We start from the raw sequence: 24,624 nt of genomic DNA on the forward strand, positions 1-24,624 counted from the left end.
CCATCAGAATATTTATGCCTGATTCATGGCTGAAATTTCAGGATGAAAGCTATGAAATCTCTATTTGTGTTTGTGTATCTAATAATGTATGTTATGTATATGTGATATTTTCTTAACTCCAGAGAGCATTGCAAAATTCATTTATGAAATCCTCTAAAAGTGCTCTATTCTAACTTGGCTTGGAAAAAAATAAGCATTTATAAATAAATATTCACCAAACTCCTAGAAATATAGGAACTGATCAAATGTTTCTTAAGTTAACATGATTTGGATAAAACTTAGTTAAATAAGATTAATATAGTATTTTTGGTGTAATAAAACAACTATATCTTCAAAATTATCATTATTGAATATAAAACAAGCATAAATTCCTATTCTGCTTGAGTTCTAGTCAAATAAGCTAATATTATACTTACTAGAAACGTAAAATCTTAAAGCTTATAGATTTGATTCTAATTAAGTTGTCATTCTTATGAAAAACATTATTTTTTTATGCTGAAAAGATACACATATATTTAGAGTTAGCCAGCTGGACTCAGTTTAGGTGATCCCAATTTTGTTACAACATCGAAAGCATCATAATCAGGAGCAAGTCGAACATATGCCTTCTTCTCTTTATCAGGACAAATCAGGGTGGTGACCTTGGCCACATCACTGTCATAGAGCTTCTTCACAGCCTGTCTGATCTGGTGCTTGTTGGCTTTAACATCCACAGTGAACACAAGCGTGTTGTTTTCTTCTATCTTCTTCACGGCCGACTCAGTGGTCAGCGGAAACTTGATGATAGCATAGTGGCCAAGCTTGTTTCTCCTGGGGGTGCTCTTCTGAGGCTATCTGGGCTGCCTCCGGAGTCACAGTGTCTTGGGCCGCCTGAAGGTGAGTGACATGCGGATCCTCTTTTTTGCGTGTGGCTGCGGACACCTTTCAACACTGCCTTCTTGGCCTTTAAAGCCTTCGCTTTGGCTTCGGCTTTAGGAGGAGCAGGAGCTTCCTTCGCTTTCGGTGCCATCTTGTGAAAAGCGAAAAACATTATTTCAAAAATAATTTGTTTACAGTAAATCTGCCTAAGAATAGTTTCCAAAGTACTTTTGGTAATTTTTAACCTTAAAGTTAATTTAATTAAAAGATTTGCATTAAATATCTAGACCATTTATAAATAAGATACAATACTAAAACATTAATTACTGAACATAAATAATTCAAGTTTATATACTTTTGGCTTCCTATTTTTACAGAGAGACTAAAGATATTTTGGCCCGTTAATAAACATGTTTTTTTCTGCCACACTGAGGAATTGTATTATGAGGAAACACATCCCTCTAGATGTTGGGAGATGGTATATTCATACATTTTCTAACCTACTATAGAATGCTAATATATGACAGTTTATAACTGTCTACTTCCTAGTTTTCTCTGGAAAATAAAAGATTACTAAGTATTAAAATTATAATCAATATATGTAAATAAAACTACTAGAAATAATAGAATAACTAGAAACAACTCTATGCAAAGCATGCAAGAAAAGTAGGGCATGTTTCGCAAGTAAAGTAGGTTGCATTTTTTATAAGGAAAACCATACAGAAGATACAAATAAAAAGAGATACCTAACCTTCCCTGTGTTATATTTGTATGGGTAAAATGTTATGTTTTCAGAAATTATATAAAATTCCTGGAAGTTTGTCAATGTCCTCCTTATCCATGCTATGTGCCACTATAGAGTAATGAGTCATAATTCCAATTATTACTTTAAATGTTGTGGCAGGCACAGTGGCTCATGCCTATAATCCCAGCACTTTAGGAGGCTGAGGCGGGTGGATCACAAGGTCAGGACATCCAGACCATCCTGGCTAACCCGGTGAATCTCCATCTCTATTAAAAATATAAAAAATTAGCCGGGCGTGATGGCAGGCACCTGTAGTCCCAGCTACTCGGGAGGCTGAGGCAGGAGAATGGCGTGAACCCAGGAGACAGAGCTTGCAGTGAGCCGAGATCGCACCGCTGCACTCCAGCCTGGGCGACAGAGCAAGACTCTGTCTCTAAATAAATAAATAAATAAATGTTGTCTGCCACAGAAAAAATCGAATATCCTTGTCAGTTGTGGTATAACGAACTCTCATCAGATCTTTCATCACAGCCATTTCATACTTTTTGTCATTTAGATATTATTTCCCCCTGATGCTTTCCTGAAAGCTCCTGCAATCAACTACAGGTCAGAATGTTCGTCTCCAAGACAGGACTCCCTCTGAGACTCACAGAAAAGACTATGACAGGTACTCTGGTTATAGGCTTCTGATGATATTGCTTAAATAACTTTAAGACCATACACTTGACTCAGTTAAGGTCTCCAGAAGTCCGGTTGGGAACCTGATGGGTTCATGACACTGCTAACTCAAGATCCACAAGACTGGAATTGATTACATGGCACTGAATGAACTGATGAAAATTGATTATAATTGTATAGCTTTTTGGAGCATTGCTGGTTAATATTCTAGTTTCTGGATTTAAGAAATCTCTTTCTCTTACTCTAACTGTAACTTACAACAATTTAGTAGATTATACTTTTGTAAACAGAAATGAAGCGTTTATCTTTTTTTCTTGCCTGATTTTTCCAGAATTTTGAAATCCTTACTGAATACTCTTATTTCCACGATGATATAGTTGTTAGCAAAAGTCCAATAAGAATCTATTCACCTTATAACAGGACATAATTGGAAATTTTGGTTATATTATCAAGGTTTTTACTGGAATATCATATTTAGGAAGTGTACCTAAGATCAGTTATGACCAGCAATTTTAAGGAAGTAAGGTTGACTTTTATGGAGACAATGCTTACAAAGCACTGTGGAAAACTTTGAGGAAAGTTCTTCCTCAAAGATTATAAAGTCACAACTACCCACTATTTTTATATGTATGTGTGTGTGTGTGTGTGTGTGTGTGTGTGTGTGTGTTCCAAATCACTTGTCCTAGCTTGCTCCAGCATGCCTGGACAGAACTAGACAAGCCCCAGCCCATAGTGCATGCCATTCCTTATTTGGAGATGCTTCCTTAACTATCCCTGGGCAACTTCCTTTTCTTTCTTTCTTCTATTCCCCTTACCTAATTAAGAAAGTTTTAAACTAACAGCCAATCGGGTAAAGTGTAAAATGGGAGGTCCTATTCCAGCCAATGGAAACTGGACACAGCAGTAGGGTAAACACGTCAGGTTATAAGTAACTCTGTCTCCTTTGTTTGGTGTGCTCTTGTAGCTGGACAGCTATTGAGTAGCACCCTTTGTGCAGAAAAATAAAGCTCGCCTTGCTAAGAGATCATTTGTTCCCATGTTAGTTCTTTTTTTTTGAGGGGGGAACATAAAAAACTTCATTCCCAACAGCACTCTGAGAAAACCCAGCCTGATACCTAGATTACAGGGTTCACAGCCTTATAGGTTAGTAAGGAAGGTCATTTCCTGATAGGCCCAGGAATTTAGGGATATTTTGGGGCCTCAAGAAGAGAGGAATTCACACAAAGCTATAAGGACTGCAGCTGAAATTTGACAGTATGTTCTTGGCTTGGCTTTTAGCCTGAATAAGGCCTTTAAAAGTCAAATCTGAGATTCTGTATGAAAACTTCCAGCAAAGAAACCTGAAAGCACCTACGTGGTCATCTCCTGTTCTTGCTGCACTTACGTAAATAATCAAGCAAAATCTAACAAAACTAGACTTATTTTTAAAACAAGAATAGTCTTACTTTGATTATGATCAAAAATGATGGTTACTACAGAGAGAAATTTTATCTTTCAAAGGAAAAGTATAACACAGCCGGGCATGGTGGCACATGCCTATAATTACAGCCCTTTGGAAGGCCAGGAGTTCAACATCAGCCTGGGCAACATGGTGAAACCCCGTCTCTACCAAAAATACAAAAATTAGATGGGCATGACGGCATGTGCCTGTAGTCCCAGGTAATCAGGAGGCTGAGGAGGGAGGATCGTTTGCACCCAGGAGGTAGAGGTTGCAGTGAGCTGAGATTGCACCTTTGCACTCCAGCCTGGGCGACAGAGCCAGACCCTGTCTCAAAAAAAATTTTTTTAAAGGAAAACTATAGCCATTGTGAGTTATCAGATTCTAGTCTTGTTTCTTGTTTCTGGGCTATTTTTACCTCTTTGTAAACTGGATCCTGCCATCTGATGAATTTTGTCCCACAGTGATACTTGGGGAACAAGAAGCCAAGTATTGTCTCTCCTACTAATGTATCTATTGTCAGTTAATTTGAAGGTCTCCAACCCTGGAACAAAGTTAGAAGAGGAAGGTTCTGCTCCCCAAAATGCATAACCAAATTGTGCTACATTCATGTAATGGAATACTATTTAGCCATAGAAAGGAACAAGATATCAACACACACAAAGACATGAGTGAATCTTGCATGCACATTGCTAAGTGGAAGAAGACAGTCTGAGGAGGATACACACAGTGTGACCTCATTTAATGAGACACTGGAGAAGGCAAACTACACAGATGGGAAGCCATTGGCTCCATGGGGTGGGGGTTTGAGGCATTCCATATGATACTTTAATAGTGGGATATCTGTCACAATGCATTTGTCGAAATATGCAGAATTTTACAGCCAAGTGGTTAAAGCAAACTCTATTCAAATTAAATCAAATTACTCAGGATGTGGAGTATCCCAGGACAGAATACATCATGTGAAAAAGAATTTATGCTACAAATTACTATGGTTTGGATGTGGTTTGTCCCCACAAAAACTCATGTTGAAATTTGACTCCCACTGTGTCAGTGTGGGGCGGTGGGGCCTAGTGGACGGTGTTTGGGTCATGGGGACGGATCCCTCATGAATAGATTAATGTCCTCCATGGGGGTGAGTGAGTTCTGTTCTCACAGGAATAGATAATTCCTGCAGGAGTAGGTAATTAAAAAGAGTCTGGCTTCCTTGGCTTCCCTCTTGCTTTCACTTCTGCTATGTGATCTCTGGTGCACCCCTTGCTCCCCTTCCACTTTCCACCATGAGGTGAAAAAGACTGAGGCCCTGCCAGATGCAACTGCCCAATCTCAGACATTCCAGCCACCAGTATTGTGAACCAAATGAAACTTTTTTACTTATAAATTACGCAGCCTCAGGTATTCTGTTACAGAAGCACAAAATGGACTAAGACACAAATCTAGGTAAAAACTTTGAAAATGAATAGAATCTGTAGGCTGAAGGCACATGAACTATACTTCATTATTGGATTCCATTTTATAAAGTTCTTTCCAACAGAAGCAATTGTGAACAATTGTAAAACCACAGTGTCTGTATCTGGAATAAAACAATGACTTACATAAGTCGCAGATGGTGGGAACCAGGTTTCTTACTGTTGAAGTGGGAGGTTACAAATTAGCAAGGCGAGAAGGCTAGAATGATTCATGTGATAGTAGATCAGAGGTGGAGACATCAACGTAAACTTATGTTTAGTTTAATATAGACACACACAGTTCTACATAGAAAACTTTATAATTAGGTGTGTATAGGTAGGTTAGACACACACATATACTTCCTAGCATTGCCAATGAGGGAGAAGATACAATGTGTTCATTCAGCAGCCAGATGTAAGTTTTCCTACCATTCTGAAAGGAATCAGGCTCTTTGAAGAAATGTCTGATACTAGAACTGGGACAGTAAATATAGGAACCAGGATAATCTGGAAGTATCAGAAAGTAAGTACTAAAAAAATTAAAACATATCAAAGAAAAATAAGAGCCAATAAAAACAGCTACTGATGGCCAACACAGGAATGAATTGTGCAACATAATACTGTAGTGTTGAATAATAACTAAAGCTTAAAGTAATTATCTAGGTGTCTGTATTTGTATACCTCGGTGAATAAGCAAATGGAGTTGCATAGAAATCTCCTTTGCAAAAGAATTCCAAATAATTGATGTAGACACTCAGCCATCAAGAAGGTGGAGCCAACTCCTTACGGAGTGAGGCTCTGCATAGTGACTTGCTCCAAAAGAACACATGCAGTATGGACAAGGAGGAGAAATAACCTCACAGTGGAGAAACCTGACAAACATTAGCTCTTCCAAATGATCCAAGTGAACATCAAAGGTGACAGTTCACCTTGAGAACATGAAGTGACAATGGGGGACATTCTACAACATTCCTGACCAATCCTCCTCAGTGCTATGAAGGTCATCATGAGATGGAAAGCCTGACACACTGTCACAGCCAGGAAGAGCCCACGTGATGTCTACATGTCATGCGGGATCCTGGATGGGATCCTGGGTCAGAGTAAGATAGAACTAAGGGAATCCAAATGAAATATGAACTTCAGTTAATAATAGTCTATCAGTATTGGTTCATTAACTGTGACAAATTATGTAAGATATTAATAAGCCATGTGAGACACACTGATAGAAGATGTTAATAAGAGAGGAAACTAGGTTGCGGCTACATGGGAAATCTCTGCTTTTTTTTGACAATTTCTGTGTAAGTAAAAAAGATGATGTAAAATAAAACTTTATTTAAAACACTGTTTTTTTTGAACACTTCCTTGTTTAATTATTTATACCATGAATTACTAGTAATTGACACTGTTAACTAGTCCTGTTTTTTTAAATAAGAGTATTTATGACACAAAAAATTAAACAGTGCAGACTGATACATAAATCAAATGTTCTTTACATGTTTTCTGTTGCAGTAGTAACACATATGTGTAAACTTAATTATCACGTTTTTCTTGTGCTGTGGTTGTGTCCTGAGTTCATTCTCTAAAATGCTGTTCACTTTAGACCAGGAAAAATATTAACCATACAGACTCTGTTTTAATTCATAGCTAAATATTTTCAAAAGAGTGACTTTGTAAAAATATGTTCCAATGGCAAATTGATTCATTGTGATGGGATCACTTATTCCAAAGACTTCCTGTCTTTATTTTGTTGCCATGCCTACCTTTTAGCCATGATACAACAGAATCAAATATTGGCCACTGGGAAAAAATATTCAAAGCAAGAAAGAATGTGAACAGAACTTATGACCATGATGATTCAATGTTTTACCACAATGCTTTCTAAAACAGAAGAGTGTAAAAGGATATTCAAAGTCAATTTCCTCAGCGAGGCTTTGCAGAAAATGAGGAAACTACAGAAACAAAAATAGCAGGACATTCTACGGGTGATTTTAAATGTTGCTATGTTTTATGGGAAAAAAATACTTTACCTTTTAAAGAATCACAAAGAATTATTGGAAACCCAAACTCTGGAATGTTTGCAAATTTAGTTGAGCTTCTATGTAATTATGTCTATATAGGTAGCCAGGAAGTTGATGATTTTTTAAAAATCTGTGCCTTATTTGTGTGATAAAATACACAATGAATAATTAATGCTCATAGGAAAACCTTATGAAGGGAAAATAAATCTTGGGGACCCAAAATCACTAAGCTAAAGGGAAAAGTCAAGCTGGGAACTGCTTAGGGTAAACCCGCCTCCCATTGTATCCAAAGTCACCCATCTGCTCACCGAGATAAATGCATACCTGATTGCCTCATTTGGAGAGGGTAATCAGCAATGCAAAAGAATGAAACCATTTGTCTCTTACCTACCTATGACCTGGAAGCCCCCTGTCTGGCCTTCTCACCTTTCTGGACTGAACCAATGTACATCTTACACGTATTGATTGATGTCTCATGTCTCCCTAAAGTGTATAAAACCAAGCTGTGCCCCGACCACCTTGGGCCCATGTTGTCAGGACCTCCTGGGGAGGCGTCACGGGCGCACATCCTCAAGATTGGCAAAATAAACTTTCTAAAAAATCTGAGAGCTGTCTCAGATTTTCAGGGTTCACACATGTAATGTAGGATGTCAATGTTTATAAAACAGACATTATTCTATCTACTATTAGAAATATGCTGCCAATTAACCTTACACTTTCTCAACAAAATAAAAAATGTTGATGAGGTACAAATAATATATCTAAGCTTAAATAGTGTTACAAGTTTTAATATGCCTATTTTTCAATTTTTCAATACTATTTTTACTAATTTAACACTTTAAGTGAATAACTAAAACATGAATAAGTGTTTACAAGGGGTGCACATGTTTCCTCCAGCCTCTGCCTATCCCCAGCTTTCATCCCAACTGTCTTGATGGTGGCTCTAAGCATTTCTCCTTTCTCTATGCCAAGATCTCTCCCAGAAACAAACCCAAATCTTACTATATGTTATGGCACGCTATGATGATGAGCAGCGATGAGCAGCCGAAGCCTCAAGGAAGGGATGCTTTTGTAAAACAAGACTTGTAGAATATAACGTGTGAAAGTAAAGCCCATGGCAGAGCTCCCTCCTCAGCACACGGGGAGCAGACAGGAAGCTTTTGCCTCACCTTCCTCAATGGCCTGCAGCCACGTCTCCCAGGTCAGTCTTAAGGACAACGAAACTCTGGTCTTCACTGTGGACATGCCACACTACCAGGTGCTCCAAAGCCATGGTGACCCATCCGCGGGTGGGTCCTGAGAACAAAGCTCTGGTTCTAATCCTAACCCTAACCCTGTCCCAAGACTTTGAGCCTGAACCTAAATCCTGATCCCTACCCTGGTCCTTAATTCTGACCCTTACTTTAACCCTGACTTTGATCTTGACCCTGACCATGACCCCATCTCTAACCATACTTCCGGCCCCGACTCTGACCCAGATCCTAATCCTATGCCTAACCCTATTATTATCTTTACAATCTATCTCTACTCTTACCCTCTAGTGCTAAATAGCTGTACCCAAAAGCACTTTTAAATTATTTCTTTTCTTGAATTCTCTATGGACATCCTAAAGGAGATGTCAATATGTATTGCATTCCCTCTGAGTGGTATGGCTTCAGATATGAAGTTCTAATACTTTGCAAGACATAAAAAGTTTGGAGGGTAACAGCACTGGGTTGTTAGGGATGTATGTTGGCATTCATGATAGTCATTGGTGCTGTTCTCCAAATATTTTCAGTTCATTTTTTATGAATGCATTCTGACTGTTCCATCCCACCTACTTAAATTTTCCCATGGCCACATGACTTTTTTTTTTTTTTTTTTTTTTTTTTTTTTTTTTTTTGCCAATGGAGGTGAGAAGAAATAACGTGACTTTTTCAGGAGAAATCTCCAAGAAACAGCGTTCTATTCCGCATGCTTTTTTCTCTTTTCTATAGCAATGGGGATCTTATTGATGGTCCCTCCTTCCTTCTGGATTCCTGTGTTAGGATGACACAGCACAGAGCTACCTCTCACCTGACCAGTCATGAGATGTAAATAAATGAGGAAGAAGATTTTTGAGCCACTGAAATTTGGAGGTTGTTTGTCACCACAGTTTAAGCTAGCCCCCACTGACTGATGCACGGCTGAAGAATGAGTCCGAACTGGCTCTGGACAAGACATGTGAAGAGCGCTCCAGGCTGAGTAAAATTCAAGGGTTGCCTCAAAGATAGCAGTGAGCACGATATGTTATTGGGGTGGGTGTGGGATAAATAAGGTATATCAGGTGAGAATAATAAGAAACTCAACTTTAAAAGACGGCGCTGATTTGCACTGTGGAGAGATTCAAATGCCCTGCTTAGCATTTGAGATTGTGATGGATGAACAAACTAATTAAGAGCCCAAAATGAAAGCTGGGGATAAATATCTGAAAGTGTCTAATATCCCAATTTTTCATCCTAGAATGGGCAGAGTCCTTGACCCCATTCTAGGGAGACTTCCAAAAGAAAAAAGACCTGCATTTCTTCAACAACCCACACTGAGGGACTTTCCTGCACTTTTGTGACCTGTGGCTAACACTCCTCACCTTTCATTCTGTCATCAGTGTTTTGGGGAAGCACCTTTAACTCTCTGTGATTTACAGGTTATTAAGTGGCCCTTACAATTCCCTCCAGAGATGGAAAAGACATGTTGATGGTGCCTGAGCTCACAGCAGCAAGCAGGCGTGTGTGCTCAGCAGCCACGTGGCTCATCTGCTAGGAGCTTGCTAAACACAATGTTCTACAACATTGCTTAACGCAAGGTGAGACGCTCCTGACTCAGAGGGTTTAATTGCTCACCTACTTCTTTTTCTGCCCTCTTGGGCTTCTGAAATGAAAAGAACCCTGGGGTGATACAGTGAGTCAAAGGGGTGCCAGCCGCATCACAGCATAATAGATTCCTAAAAAATCCCTGGCCTAAGATGACAGCCTTGGCTGGATAAGTTTGAATGTGCTGATAGTGGATATGGTAGAATGAAGGTGGTTGAAATGTTCATATTAAAGAACTTCCACCCAGATTGCAAGAAAAGAGAGAGGAATGGAGATGGCAGCACGAGCCCCTACAATAAAAGCAGATGTTTTGAGATCAGTTATATTTCTTCTGACAAAAATTAAAGACAGAAACCAAAGTTTAGCCTGAGGCTACAATTAATTGGGCAATAAGCCAGAGGCACATATGGCATAGACAGATTTAAACATTTCTCCCTTATATTAATACAAACACTAAAATTACAAATACATGGATTCCAAATAAAACAAATATTTTAAAATTTAATGAATAAACACTGGGGTCTACAGTAGTATTTGAAGGAGATCTCACAAACAGGTTTGGTTTTTGAAGGTTAGAACTGGTCGTCTAGAGAATTCATTTCATTCCAGAGAAATAAAGAGAGGAATTTCTTGGGTTCCTTCAGGAATGCATCTAGCTTTGCCTCATCTTTGTTTGAACTATGGATACGGCAGAAGAAAACATGAGGATTTCACAGATTTAAGGTGCAAAAAGTCACTGGGTTCTCTAAGAAGACTGGGATTCTTCTGCTGGAAAAATAAGTTTGTTGAGAAAAAATGAGTTGGAGGAGGCTGTTATTGAAGTGAAGCAGAATTGTTTTTACTAATCTGCTTATTACCCACTCTGTAGTGTGGAAACAAATTATTCATGCACAAGGTCCTCTTACTGTTCCTAGAATGCAGTGGAAAGAGAACAGATTAGTTTTCCTCCCTCAGAACACAACCCCTAGAAACATCCTACCTCAGATGAGATATTGCCTAATTATTTTCAAAAAACAGTAAAACATCATGGATGTAAATGTTTGCTGCAAAATAAATACGTGCTAGAAACAGAAGCATCTGGGTCACAGCTATATTAGAGCTACCTGTGTTCCCCTGTCACTGACATTAAAACAAAAATGTCCAATACGATCCTTCACAGTGTGGGAGAGGGGAAGATGAAGGATGGAAAGGCCAGGCATAAAAGGATTTCAGAATTTCCGTCCATAAGGAAGTGGCTTTGTGCACTGTCTGTTACTGCGTGCAAGGTGAAATTTGAAGAATGAAAACATGCAGTAACAAGGGCTCCTTTGTCCAACTCACCTCTCCAGATACCAAGTTTCAGACATGTTGCATTTTAATTGAAAGGTTGATATAATTTTTTTTAAAGAACACTTGCGGTGTTTGAAGTGACAAAGGCTGCTGTGACAAAAAAGCAGGGAAAGGGAATTTTTTTTTAAAAAAGCAAACAACAACAACAAAAACCCCAGAGAAAAGCAAACAACAAACAAACAAAAAACAGAGGAAGAAGTCAAACACCCTGGGCTGTGACTACTTCCAGGAAGGGGCTACAAGAGGCAGTTGGAAATTCTATTTGCTTTGCAACTGTGGGTTTTCTGGCCTGCTTCCTTTCTAAAGTATATTACTCTGCTTTTGGTTCATGAAGTTATCCATTTCTGTTTTCTGGAACAGCTATGTATTTTCTTTATCTATCATCTATCTATCTGTTTACCATCTATCTTTTCTACCTTTCGCTATCAAGAGCTTGGGTCAAGCAGGATAGAATTCCAGTGTATGTTCACTCTACCATTTAAAACAAGAGCTCTTGTGGGCATTCTCCATCACATCATAAACCTGAGCTTTCTAAAACAGAGTGTGGCAAACTACCATGCATGGACCATGTCTGACACAGTCTGCGTTTGTAAGTAAAGTTGTAATGGGACACAGCCAATACATGTGTTACATAATGTCTCTGGCTACTTTCACGGTATAATGGAAGAGCAGAGTCATTGAGAGAGAGACCATATGGCTTGGAAAACTTGAAATATTTAACACTTAGCCCCTTGCAGAAAATATTTGCTGACTCTTGTTTTAAAAGATCTCTGTTTAGAATGCTACCTATTGCCTTCTGGATAGAATCGCAACTCTTTACCACAATCGACACAGCTTCAGCCCTGCTTCTATATCCAGCCTCATCTGTTTCTGCTCCTCCTCCTTATTTTCCTTCTGGACATGCTGATGGATTGTCAGCTTCCCAGATGTGCGAGAATCTCTCCTCCCTTCCCAACATTCTCACAATCTCCCTCTGCCTCTCAAGAACTTCCTGTCCCATCTCTCATGACAAATCCTTTCTTCATTCTTTAAGATGCAGCCCCTTGGCTCTTTCCTTAAGGATGTCTGTCTGGCTCTATTTTGGGTGACGTGCTCCTTCTGCATCTCCCAGAGCCAGCCGGTGTGTGTCAGCTACAACATTTCTTTGCATCTCTGTGTCGTATATCACCAAATCTGCCTAAGCTTGCATGAGTCACTGCATGACAACTTCAGACTCCACCAGCATTGTCCCCACTAACCACAAGGCTTAGACATTCGTCCAGTATGCTCGGGGTTGTGGGGTGGTAGCAGTAACCAGCTGGTGACCATCATTTCTTACATCAGAATCAAATCTGTAGATCTCTGCCATTCATAAGTATTTGGAGTTTAAAATTAGCATAAAGATTTTCCTTAAAATAAGAACAAATGGCTTGAGTAGGCTTTTGGAACGTAGGATGTTTCCACTGGTTCATGTCTGTGTTCAGTATTCCCACATGAATCTAAACACGACTCTGCTCTTAGTAGCTGTGTGACCCTGGGACAGTCACTCAGTCTCCCTCAGCTAAATTTTGTTGTGTGAGTAATGAGGAGAGAGTTGTGATTTGTATTTAGTGAATAATAACAAACAAAAGGCATTTAGCTTTCTGGAACATGGTATGTAGTAGAACCTCATGAAAATACTAGCTGTTGATAAAACTAGACTGAAAAAAGCTTTCAAAGTCAACAACAGTATGAGGCAGTGAAGGACGTAGAGGAGAAGCTGCTGCTGCAGCCTGTAGCTCCTGGAAGCCCGTTTTGTCCATGATTTAGCAGGAACTCATTACCTTTCCATGAGGACACTGCCCACAGAAACCAAGGCCATTCTTTGAAGACAAACATGTCTTAATAGCCTTTACATTATGTAATAGTGTAATACAAATAATAATTTATTATTAGTAATAATGTGAAATTATTTACAGTACCATAACCCTAACCATAACCCCTAATCCTAACCCTAACCCTAACCCCTAACCCCTAACCCTAACCCCTAACCCCTAACCCCAACCCCTAACCCTAAACCCTAACCCCTAACCCTAACCCCTGACCTTGACCCTAACCCTAACCCCTAACCATGACTCTGACCCTGACCCTAACTCTGACCCTACCCTAACCCTAACCCCTAACCCTCACCCCCCACCCTCACCATCACCCTAACCCAACCCTAACCCAACGACTGTAAGCCGTTTACAGGAAACTCAAGCCAAAACACTACTTGTTTCCAACGTTTTGTTTGCAGAGGATTTACAAATTACACTCCAAAACAAGATAGCCACAGAGCATACTACTTCTCCTCTGAAGTCGCTCTGAGGGCCTCCGCATCAGTCCTAGAATTGGAAGATTGGTGGACAAGAACTGGGATGTTGATGGGGCACTGAATATTTGCTGGACACCAACCTCCTGTTACCTAACCTTACAGAGGGCCCAGATCTCACCTGCCCAAATCAGACATTTTAACACACACACCTCTCAACAGCAGGACTTACACACACAAAACTCTGAGGTAAAGAAAGGATTGTCTCAACTCCTTGGTGTCTCAACGAACTAAAACACTGCCTAGCGCAGGTGCACCATCAACCTTATTCACTAAATACACCTCTGTATATATTCTTCATCTTTGATTGTGGAAATGATATAATCAACATAAAAATGTTTTATAGATTGGACTAAAGACCTTTGAGGTCTCTTCACAGGATCCTATCTGGCGGACCCCCAAATCTGCCAACACAGAGGTCATCCGTAAACATGTGCAGGACAGAGGCCAGACAAAACCATCTCTCTCAGCCTCAAAGTGGCCTGGCAGTCACATGTGGGGTCTGGCCTGTGTGAGGAAGTCAGGCTTTCGGCTCCAGGCACCCTACTGCACCGCAAAACCAAGTTCTGCCTAACAAACAAAAAACAGCCTGCTCACTCTCCCTAATATCCCAGGTGGTAACCTAAGAGCATTATGCTAGACACCCCTCCTCCTCCACCCTCCATGTCCAAGCTATCACCAAGGTCCTAGCAATCTTACCTCCTAAATGTCTCCCAAATCCACTTCTCTCCCTTCAATGTCCAGGCCACCAGCATGACTTCTGCATGTGTGTAGCAGCCTCCGCGCAGGACGTAAAGATGCAAATCTAGTCGTAGGCTCTCTGAAAGGAAAATTTTGGGGACCCAAAATTACTAAGCTAAAGGAAAAGTCAAGCTGGGAACTGCTCAGGGCAAACCTGCCTCCCTTTCTATTCCAAGTCACCTATCTCCTCACTAAGATAGGTGCATATCTGATTCCCTGCTTTGGAGAGGCTAATCAGAAACTCAAAACAATGCAACCTTTGTCTCTCACCTACCTGTGACCTTGGAAGCCCCCTCCCTGCTTCCAGTTGTCCCCACCTTTCTGGATGGAAGCAACGTACTTCTTACATATATTGATTGATGTCTCATGTCTCCCTAAAACCAAGCTGTGCCCTGACCACCTTGGGCACATGTCGTCAAGACCTCCTGAGGCTGTGTCACGGGTGCACGTCTTTCTAAATTACCTGAAACCATCTCAGATAGGGTTCACACATCCCTTTCCCGAACCCTCCCAGGAGCCCCTCGTGGGCGCCCAGGTCCTGCCTGCTGTTGTGGCCCAGGCTCACCTGGAGCAACTCGACTCTTCGTTACAGCCTCGTGAACCTTTCAGTTCCTAAAGCTGTCTAGCCTGTGAAAGGAAAATGAATCTGGGGGCCCCAAAATCACTAAGCTAAAGGGAAAAAAGCTGGGAACTGCTTAGGGCAAACCTGCCTCCCCATCTATTCAAAGTCACCCCTCTGCTCACTGAGATAGGTTAATATGTGATAGCCTCCTTTGCGGAGGCTATTCAGAAACCCGAAAGAATACAACAGTTTGTCTCTCACCTACCTGTGACCTGGAAGCCCCCTCCCTGCTTCGAGTTGTCCCGCCTTTCCCGAGGGAACCAACGTTCATCTTACATATATTGATGTCTCCTGTCTCCCTAAAATGTATAAAAGCAAGCTGTGTCCCGACCACCTTTGGCACATGTCAAGACCTCCTGAGGCTGTGTCACGGGCGTGCGTCCTCAACCTTGGCAAAATAAACTTTCTAAATTGACTGAGACCGTCTCACATATTCGAGGTTCACAAGCCCATGCATGGGGACGTCCCCTGGGGTAGCGCCCCTCCTCCACTGAGCTCACTCGCTTCCTCCTTGTGTGTTTTCTTCAGAAGAAATTTCACAGCTACTTGGTCCACACCTGTCTGCCCCACAGGAACCTCTCTTCTCCACAGGCACATGGGCGGCGTACCTGCTGGGCTGTGTGGAGAGGACCGGGTTCCTCTCCTGATTCCTGCTCAGTTAATAACGAATGTCGACAAGTCGAGAAAATTGCTCAAATTTACCCCATCAAAGAATTAAAAACTGGTGAAAGCTTGACCTGCGCCCCCCACCCCTGACGTGCTCACCGCTCCACTCCCTCTAGGCGGGCGGCACCCGCTGAAGCCTCAGTACCACACCCACAGCCAGGAGCCCCAGTCCCGCACTCGGCCGCATGCGCACTCCCTGCGGCCCTCCCGCCAGGCGCCGCGCTGGGCAGCCAGCGCCCCGGCGGGGTCCTTCAGGCCTTCGGCCGGGCAGCCTCCCTCGGGGTCCTTGCGCGGTTGCGTAGCAGCTGCGAGGACGCGGGGCGAGCCGGAAGTGGAGTGCGCTGCGGTGCGAGCTGGGCCGGCGGGGTGGTTCGAGAGCGCGCAGAGTCCAGACTGGCGGCAGGGCCCGAGGGGCCGACCCGCAGCGTCCCTGGTCTCTCCAGCCCTCACTCGGAACCGCACGTGAGGGCAAATCCGCCCCGGTGGCTGGCTTAGCACGCGGGGACAGCCCCTCCGAGGCCTCCCTAGCGGTGTGGGCGAGAGGGCGTCCGGGTCGGGGGAAGCACGGAAAGGTGGCTTCGCGAGGCTGTTGTGGGGGGCGGGACGGGCAGCCTGGCGATGCCTGGACATGGTTGGTGGCCAAAAACATTTATCGAAAGATAGCATACCCACTTAGATGGCGAGGACATCGACAAGCAAGTCTTCGCCCGTAAGCGGTGGCTCACGCCTATAGTCCAGGGATGCCGAGGAGGGAGGATCGCTTGAGTCCAGGAGTTGGAGGCTGCAGTGAGCCGTGATCGCGCCACTGCACTCCAGCCTGGGCGACAGAGTGAGACCCTATCTCTAAACAAAAGAAAGAACGTCTTCAAGCATGGAGCCATGAAGCTGGATTTGGCTTTCTGTCGCTCTCTCTACAGGGTACAGGTGAAAGGGGGCAGACCCCTCATCATGCTTTCCAGGCATCTGCCACTTCCCAGGAATTGTCTCCCTGGATAAACAAGGCGAAGTCCCTGGCTGTGCAGAAGCAGTAGCTGTGTGGTGGCACAGTCAGGAAAACTCGGGGGCCCTGTTGGTATTTTCTACCCCTGACCCGTGTGCATACTTCTGTCGTAGCTCTCACCACAGTAGACTCTGCTATCATTGTGTCTTCCATCCTCTGAACCCTGTGCAAGGTCTGCTCATGGTGAATGCCCAGTAAGGCTCACCTATTGCTGCTATCTCATCATCATATCATTTCTATGTGCCCCCCTAGCTAAGAGTCTGGACTGTGGTTACATTCTCAGGAATGTCTGCAAAGTCATATTTAGGTGTGAGGAGAGTAAAACAGAGCTAGACATAATGTTGCACACAGCCTTTGGCACTGGATGCCTGGTGAATGTCTTGTGCAAATGGGTAACGTGAGGAGCAGCATTTGGGGTGCGCAGGACTTAACTATTTGTGTATAACATATTACTGATGCCTGTGTGTCATCCTCTGCTACTCCAAGTCTAGTAGCCAATTGCATACCATATCTCAGTCTGGCACTGAGGGAAGCAGTCTGGATGGAGGTACAGCTGGAGATTTGGTTGAGGGGACTTATCTCTGACAACAGCCTCTTGTTGATCTTCCCAGACAGTGACAATACCCTCCCCTCCCTTGGGCTGGACCCCTCTCTACAGCTAGGAGCCAATGGCAGAAGACAAAACCAAACCGAGTGAGTTGGACCAAGGGAAGTATGATGCTGATGACAACGTGAAGATCATCTGCCTGGGAGACAGCGCAGTGGGCAAATCCAAGTATGTTGGGAGATTAGGGAATAAATACCAGCCCCAGAGAGGGTCCAGGTCATTTAAAAAGTCCTCCAGAGGCAGAGGAGCATGGCTTCTTGGGGCTGGTGAAGGAGCAGTCTTGGCTGGAGCCCAGATGTTCATGGGGGAACGAGGGGAATCACATGACCCGTTGTGTGTGTCGGGTGGAGGGGGCAGGTCATAAGGACTGAGGAATTTGAATGTTTCCTCTGAGCCCTGAGAGAACGTGTGGAGCAACTGAGGACATTGTATGTGGTTTGTGGGCTGAGGGATGGCAAGGGCGGGGAGTGGGAATGGAAAGACAAAAGTGACTATGCCACCGTGACAGATTGGGTAAAGGTGGTAAAGATGCTTTCTTGGAGGGACTCTCTGAAATAGAGAAAACTGGGTAGAACTGACGATTGACTATAATCATTGTGAAGACTGGCTTCTTCTTGTAATGAATTTCGGTGCCTACATGCCACCTGGAGAGGTGAAGGGAGGCTCTGCCGTGCTGCCAGCTTGTCTCCATGAGACGTCCTAGTTCTCACGCCTAGGACTGCTGAGGGCACATGTCCATTTCCGCCTTCATAGCATGACGGTACACTTGCCCCTGCCCAGAGAAGTGGTCACGTTTATCTCCCAAGTACTCCAGGCCCACCTTGGTTTCTACCTTCATTTTTATAGTCAAGTCCTTTGACTCAGGTAGCTGTGAATAATTCTCTGGGGGCTTTGCTGGTTTTTAGGCCATCTCCATGAATTTGAATTCTCTGTCTCTCTCTCTCTCTCTCTTCCCCACCACACAATCACACACTGCAGCTCTGGTTTAGAATTTTTTTTTTTTTTTTGAGACGGAGTCTCGCTCTGTCCCCCAGGCTGGAGTGCAGTGACGTGATCTCGGCTCACTGCAAGCTCCGCCTCCCGGGTTCACACCATTCTCCTGCCACAGCCTTGCGAGTAGCTAGGACTACAGGCGCCCGCCACCACACCCAGCTAATTTTATTTTTGTATTTTTAGTAGAGACGGGGCTTCACCTTGTTAGCCAGGATGGTCTTGATCTCCTGACCTCGTGATCCGCCCACCTCAGCCTCCGAAAGTGCTGGGATTATAGGCATGAGCCACCGCGCCCGGCCTCTGGTTTAGTATTTTATAGTTACTTTGACCATCCTCAACAGCACGCCTGTACAGTAAAAGTGAGGGTAGGTGTTGTAGTTTGGGAAGGTTACCCAATAAATAATACCCCCTTTATCCCCACTCAAGTTTAAAACAACAAAGAATAGAAATGGCAGGCAGGTGTAGAGCAAATTGCCACTTTAATAACAAACAGAGCTTTCGGAGAATGTATCTTGGTATACCCAGCTCCCAAGTTCAATGCTAGTCTCTTTATATGCCTCATTTCAAACAGTAACAAAAAATAAGAATCCAAGTAGTTAACTTGACGTCAAAGATTACCATAACATTGGCCTCCACAGACACAACAATTAGAAAACAAGCCAGTCTTCATCCACTAGCAGTATCTCAGGCAAAAGGTTGTCCCAGATACAAAGACCATGATGGAAACAGTGCATCTGAGGGAAGGTGAGTGCATGAGAACACTGTGGTTCAGTTTTGATTGGACTCAAGAACTACTGCCAATTTTCAGTATCTCTAACCTATGAATCTAAACTCGGTTGGGCTAAAACACCCATTAAGAGGTTGACACATCAGGCTGTGGTGAGCTATGATTGTGCCACTGCACTCTAGCCTAGTGACAGAGCAAGACCCTGTCTCAAAAAAAAAAGTTAACACTTGTGTTCATCATATCTGAAGGGCGTCAGTTGTACACGGCCTCATTTCTAGATAGCAATGTTGTGGCAGTGCGGCCTTCTTGCAGAGTTCAGAAATTTACCACGGTAGCAGCCCCAGTCACCAGGCTTTCTTTAAGGTGCCTTTTTTTTTTTTTCTCATGCAGCATGTTCATGCTTCTTGATTCCACTCAGGGCTCTGTTGGTGGGCTCTGATGACAGCTCCCCTACCCCCTGTGAACAGGTGACCTCAGACCTGGGCACTGCCTCCTGTGGAAGGCTTTTCCTTTGCTCCTGCACATGCCACCTTCCTGAGCTGCCATTACAGGTGTGAGCCACTGCACCCGACCAGATTTCTTTTGACCCCAGGTGATCATACTGCTTAATAACAAGACATGGTGTTTTTTTGTTTTTTTGGTTTTTTTTTGAGACAGAGTCTTGCTCTGTCACCCAGGCTGGAGTACAGTGGGGCAATCTCGGCTCACTGCAACCTCCGCCTCCCAGGTTCAAGCAATTCTCATGCCTCAGCCTCCTGAGTAGCTGGGATTACAGGCATGCGCCACCATGCCTAGCTAATTTTTTTGTATTTTTAGCAGAGGTTTTGCCATGTTGGCCAGGTTGGTCTGGAATTCCTAACCTCAAGTGATCTGTCTGCCTTGGCCTCCCAAAGCGCTGGGATTACAGGTGTGAGCCACCGCACCCAGCCAACAAGACGTGGCTTTCTGATTCCATCTTTAAGAGTAGTTAGGTCCAGATGTGTTGTCTTTTTTCTTTGATAGCTGTCTAACTTGGCCTTTAGGGTCTTCCATTACCGTTAATGATTGCCTATCATCGTTGTGCAAAGAGGGCAAAGGCACACCCCCCCCACCCAAAACTAAGGCCACATGGTGTGAGTACAGACTAGAGTGATGGGGGAAACTTACAAGCAGAAAGGTCACACCATGTGACTCCCTGGGTCCCAAGCTCTCATTATCCTGAGGGAGTTGTGCTTAGGCCACCAGTGACCAGTGCCTACTCTAAATATTTTTGGGAAAAGAAGACAGGGAACATCTGTGTATGTGACAGTGACAGAGGCAGCTTCCTAGAGCCTCCGGAGGTAGGCCTGCTCTGTTTTTGAGCTCAGGCCTGCCGAGCTGGTTCTCTGCTAAGCTGCAGAACGTTGGGAGGGAATGAGTCTCTGGGGCCTCTTTTTCCCTCCTTCATCCTGTCTTCCAGAGGCAACTTTTCCTTAAGAAAATCCCTCTGTGCCTGTGTTTTTATTCTTTCACTGCTTCTGCTTGGATGAGGCAAGTTTATGGATCTCTCCTCTTCCTCCTGCACTTTCTGAGCATGTGCCCTCTCAAGACAGTGTTCTGAGCTTGAGTCTTTTTCATTGACCATCTTAACCTCTGGCCACGGTAATTTCTTTGTGTAATTTTCTACGTGATCTAAGAAGATGATGTGTTTTCTTTATAGTAAGGGTGCTGTTTCTTTATAGTTATAAATAAAATCTATCCTCCTTTTACAATTCAAGCTGCAGTTTAAATATCAGAAGTATAAAATCATGGTTAGAGTGTATTACACTGACAGGCAAGCAGTGACCCTTCAAAACGTGAGGGAAAAAAGGTTGCAATGTCAAGAGAGTGGTCAGGGAAGGCCTAGTTGTAAAGGTAACATTGGGTCAAAGACTTGAAAAAAGCAAGGAGTAAGCCTTGCAGATATCTGGCAGGAGCATTTCAACAACAAAAGGAGGAAATGGCCAGTGGCTAGAACAGAGGGAGAGAAAAGAAATGGGAGAGTTTGAACTGAAAGAAATGGGGGACCACTGGATGGTTTTGCAGAGAGGAGTGACCAAGTCTGCCTAATTTTTTCACAGGATAACTGACCACATTCAGAATAGATGGTCCTCTCAATAACCAATAGATTAAGCAGATTCTCCTGTCTCAGCCTCCTGAGTAGCTGGGATTACAGGCGTGTGTCGCCACACCTGGCTAATTTTTTGTATCTTTAGTGGAGACAAGGGCTTCACCATGTTGGCCAGGCTGCTCTCGGCCTCCCAAAGTGCTGGGATTACAGGCGTGAGCCACCGCGCCCGACCGGGAAATGGCTTTTGAACGGAAGGCGCAGCTTTGGCCTGGCCTCTGTTTCCCTTTGCATAACACAAGGGTAATTGCATGTGCAGAACTGTGCTCTGGTGGAAATAACAGATTTGAGAGCTTCACGTGGGCTGGTGTGTGTACTCATAGTGACATGAGCTGTTTTGTTATGACGGGTTGGTAATGCTGATACCCAATTTCCAGACTTGACCCGGAAGCTGTGTGGCTGTGGAGTGAAAGGGGGAAGGGAAGCCACAGGTGGCTTCCAGGTTGTCAGCCTTAGGGTGAAAAAGTCTGGGACAAGGGAGAGATGGAGACGCCATCTGACCACCTTGCCTGTTCTGCTTACAGACTCATGGAGAGATTTCTCATGGATGGCTTGTATCCTTCAAGGTTTGAAGTACTCCTTGTTCCTGTGGGTCTTCCCACGCTCATGTATCAGTGTCCCACTGCCCACCCCTTTGTACCAGCAGCCCAGGAACAGGAAGGAGGATTGGGTAAGTGAACGCACAGGTTTTGTTCTGCACTTGTTTCTTGCCGATTGACCCACATGGCATTGCACAATCAGTGCTGTATATTTTGGACCTTACTCATATTTGGATTGTTTTATATTAAGAGGGCAGTAGAATGGCAAACAGCAAATGGTTTGGATCTAATGCCTGGATTCAAACCCCACCTCCTCCTCCTCAGTAGCTTCTGATACTGGCCAAGTCATTTAACCTCTCTAACCTCAAAGCTTGGGCCCCCTACTATTGAAAAAAATCTCTGATATGAATGAACTTTGTAAAATAGGAGCTGCCAGCCCCACCTTTCTCCCATGAATTGTTATATTACATAGGTTTGGAGTGAGTTCCTCCCCGCAACTGGGAGATTTTTAAACAGCTTCCCAAGTGGATCCACTGAGAACCACAGGTGAGAGGAGCCCCTGGAGCCTGCTGCTGCCTGTCCTAGGCTCGGCACCCCAAGGCTCAGTTGCCTTAAGATCTGAGTATGTGTTACTCCACCTTGTACCAAGTGCTCCTGCACACCCAGCCCACCTGCGTCATTTGGCTCTGCTTTTTACACTGTCCAGCTTCTTGCAGCCTCGGAAGGTGTTAATCCCCAGAGTTTAACCCTTTTTCTCAGGGTTTCACACATAGACAGACTCCAAATTGATTGACAGCTTGTCAACTGTATGGCTTGTGGGAGCTTCTGTCCCTGGAATGGTCATGTTGCTACCTAGGGTTAGGGTTTCCTTTCTAGCCTGCGAAAGCTCCATCCATGATTGAGTTGGGGTATCCACTTTTGCATTTTCCAACTGCATGATGCCTTTTATGACACTTGTCTGTAAAATCCTGTTCTGTGTTTTACCTCAGACTTCGATGGCCAGGACACACTCTCATCTCCTCCCACCCCTCACCCTTCCATGGAGCTTGTACCAGTGGTATGTGAAGCTGATCCTCTGTCTGCAACATTCATTTGATTTAAAATCTCAATAACTCCAAAGAGAAGAGGAGGGAGAGGATCCATTTCATCAAACCAAACACCCCTGCTCCCCACTCCTTCCTTACCTCCCCTTTTATTGATTTTGCTCCTTAACCTGAGTGCAGTCAGCCACAGCAGCTGTCCACGTACGCCCTGACCCTGTACAAGCACACAGCCACGGTAGATGGCAAGACCATCCTTGTGGGTAAGTGGCACAGGGCCAAGACATGCTGACCCTCAGGAAAGAGGAAATGGGAGACGAGGGGAGGTGAGGCAAGGTTCATAAGGAGAGAGTCCAGAGGGAGAAAATGAGACCCCAGGCAGGGACAAGGGGTGCTAGAGAGAACCCAGAGAGCCAGGAGCCAGGAGGGTGGAAGGGGGCACGCAGGGGCCAAGTCCCAGCCCTCTGACCTGGCGTCCAGGCCAGCACCTGTGCAGGACAGGGTTCAGGAAAGGAGAAGTCAGGGGGCTGTACCCACCTCAGGGAAGAAGAACATAAGAGGCCTTCGACGAGGCAGTAGTTTTCCTAGCTTCAGGGGTTCTTACTCAGCCAGTTTGAAAAAATAAATGTGGTCAGAACATTATCTCCCACATCGGGCTGCGACCTTCCATCGGGTCATAATCTTCTCCTTGGCCGGGCACACAGCCTGCCTGACTCTGTCTACCGTCTGTGGTCATCGCACGTGAGAAGTTGGAATAGTTTGGAACTTAGAGGACCCTGCGTGTCACGTGGGAAACGGGGAACTGTCTTCTCCCTCCTTGGGCTTCCAGTGTGTTGTCCTTCCTCCTGGCCCCTGACCCACTGTCTTCCCATACACACAGGTGAAGACACACCTCTCACATCACACTCAGGTGCACTGTGTCTTGAAGACACACGTGTGGGGCTGTATAGTCTCTGTTTCTCCCTGTGCTCCCCATGTACACTCACACATGTGCTGTGGTTTGTGCCGCATGTGTGTTGTATCTTAGTGACTTGCACAGAAATGCACCAGGCATGTAGGTCTGTCTGTGTTCACATTGCAGACTTTTGGGACACGGCAGGCCAGGAGCGGTTCCAGAGCATGCATGCCTCCTACTACCACAAGGCCCATGCCTGCATCATGGTACGAGACGGTGGGGAGGTGGACAAAGGCACTGGGCAAGTCTGGCCTGAGGGGTGAGGGGCCTAGCAGCCCTGGGCCCTTGTAACCAAGTCTGGGTGTTGTGGGAGGGGGGCTTAGGGTCACCCGGGGATGTTTCAAACCACACCTGCTCCCCAGAGCTTCTTAGTGAGAAGGTGCCAGGTGAGCTCTCTGTAGGCGGGGATGGGTGGAGAAAAGGTGGAACAGCAAGCTCAGGGCTTCAACATCAGGTGTAGCATCCAAGAGGCAAACATGCCTGAAACAGGGCCACAGTCCCTCTGATGGACCTAACCTGTCAGACAAGCTCCCAAGGCCTCCCTCCACTGTTGCCTGCTGCCTTTCCCTAGGGGGCACATGCTGGGACTGAGTAGATGCTGCGGGTCCCAGAGAACCTTCTCTCTCAGGCCAGCCCCTCGCCTCCCCCCGAGCCTCCCATTGTGTTGCCCGGGACGCAGTCCTCACGGCTCCACCCTGGTGACCCGGGTGTGGTGAAGCAGTCGCTCCAACAGAAAAATGCAGCCGAGGAAACGGCTGAGAAAGGAGAAAGGAGCTCTGTAAACCTGTGTCCTATAGAAGTTCCTACCCGTGAATTCCCTGGCTGCGTTCTCAGGCCACCACTTTTAAATGCTGAAAAGGAGCATGTTTTTCTTTTGGGTCACTTAAAAAACATTTTCATGGCTGGGCACGGTGGCTCATGCCTGTAATCCCAGCACT

At 44.5% G+C, this 24,624-nt stretch overlaps 1 protein-coding gene and 1 pseudogene across 67 annotated transcripts in view, besides 1 other annotated feature; one reads left to right on the plus strand and one right to left on the minus strand.

The window, feature by feature from the left end:
* Window positions 1-15,900, minus strand: RPL23AP7 (ribosomal protein L23a pseudogene 7; annotated as a pseudogene). 5 transcript variants are annotated; one of them, NR_024528.1, is made up of 4 exons: window positions 15,643-15,900; window positions 15,240-15,333; window positions 14,371-14,491; window positions 1-1,009 (listed from the first exon to the last, which is right to left on the minus strand). The product of NR_024528.1 is annotated as a ribosomal protein L23a pseudogene 7, transcript variant 1 (transcript). The 5 variants fall into 5 exon arrangements; NR_024530.1 differs by lacking the exons at window positions 1-1,009; window positions 15,240-15,333 and adding exons at window positions 10,488-10,778; window positions 10,875-10,923 and having other exon boundaries at window positions 15,592-15,900; NR_000029.3 differs by lacking the exon at window positions 15,240-15,333 and having other exon boundaries at window positions 15,800-15,900.
* Window positions 15,788-16,097: a silencer, noted in NCBI's record as "silent region_11885". NCBI's record gives its function as "represses an Ori minimal core promoter by ATAC-STARR-seq in GM12878 lymphoblastoid cells {active_cell/tissue: GM12878}" and the evidence as "EXISTENCE:reporter gene assay evidence [ECO:0000049][PMID:35858748]".
* Window positions 16,028-24,624, plus strand: part of RABL2A (RAB, member of RAS oncogene family like 2A) — a 16,127-nt gene continuing 7,530 nt past the window's right edge. For 12 of the 62 annotated variants that reach the window (NR_148882.2, NR_148879.2, NM_001354407.2 and 9 more), the window contains exons 1-5: window positions 16,028-16,162; window positions 17,316-17,475; window positions 21,677-21,706; window positions 22,915-22,994; window positions 23,813-23,892. Coding sequence is in view for 57 of the 62 variants with exons in the window: in NM_001354407.2 (NP_001341336.1) it covers window positions 17,369-17,475; window positions 21,677-21,706; window positions 22,915-22,994; window positions 23,813-23,892 (297 nt within the window). In the remaining 5 variants the exon portion in view is untranslated. Of the gene's footprint in view, window positions 16,231-16,376; window positions 17,476-21,676; window positions 21,823-22,163; window positions 22,238-22,680; window positions 22,995-23,789; window positions 23,893-24,624 lie in introns of those variants that run through there. The other 50 variants (NR_148881.2, NM_001354406.2, XM_017003210.2 and 47 more) reach the window with 22 other exon arrangements.

The sequence above is a fragment of the Homo sapiens genome, chromosome 2, assembly GCF_000001405.40.
Source record: "Homo sapiens chromosome 2, GRCh38.p14 Primary Assembly".
Classification (NCBI taxonomy): Eukaryota; Metazoa; Chordata; class Mammalia; order Primates; family Hominidae; genus Homo; species Homo sapiens.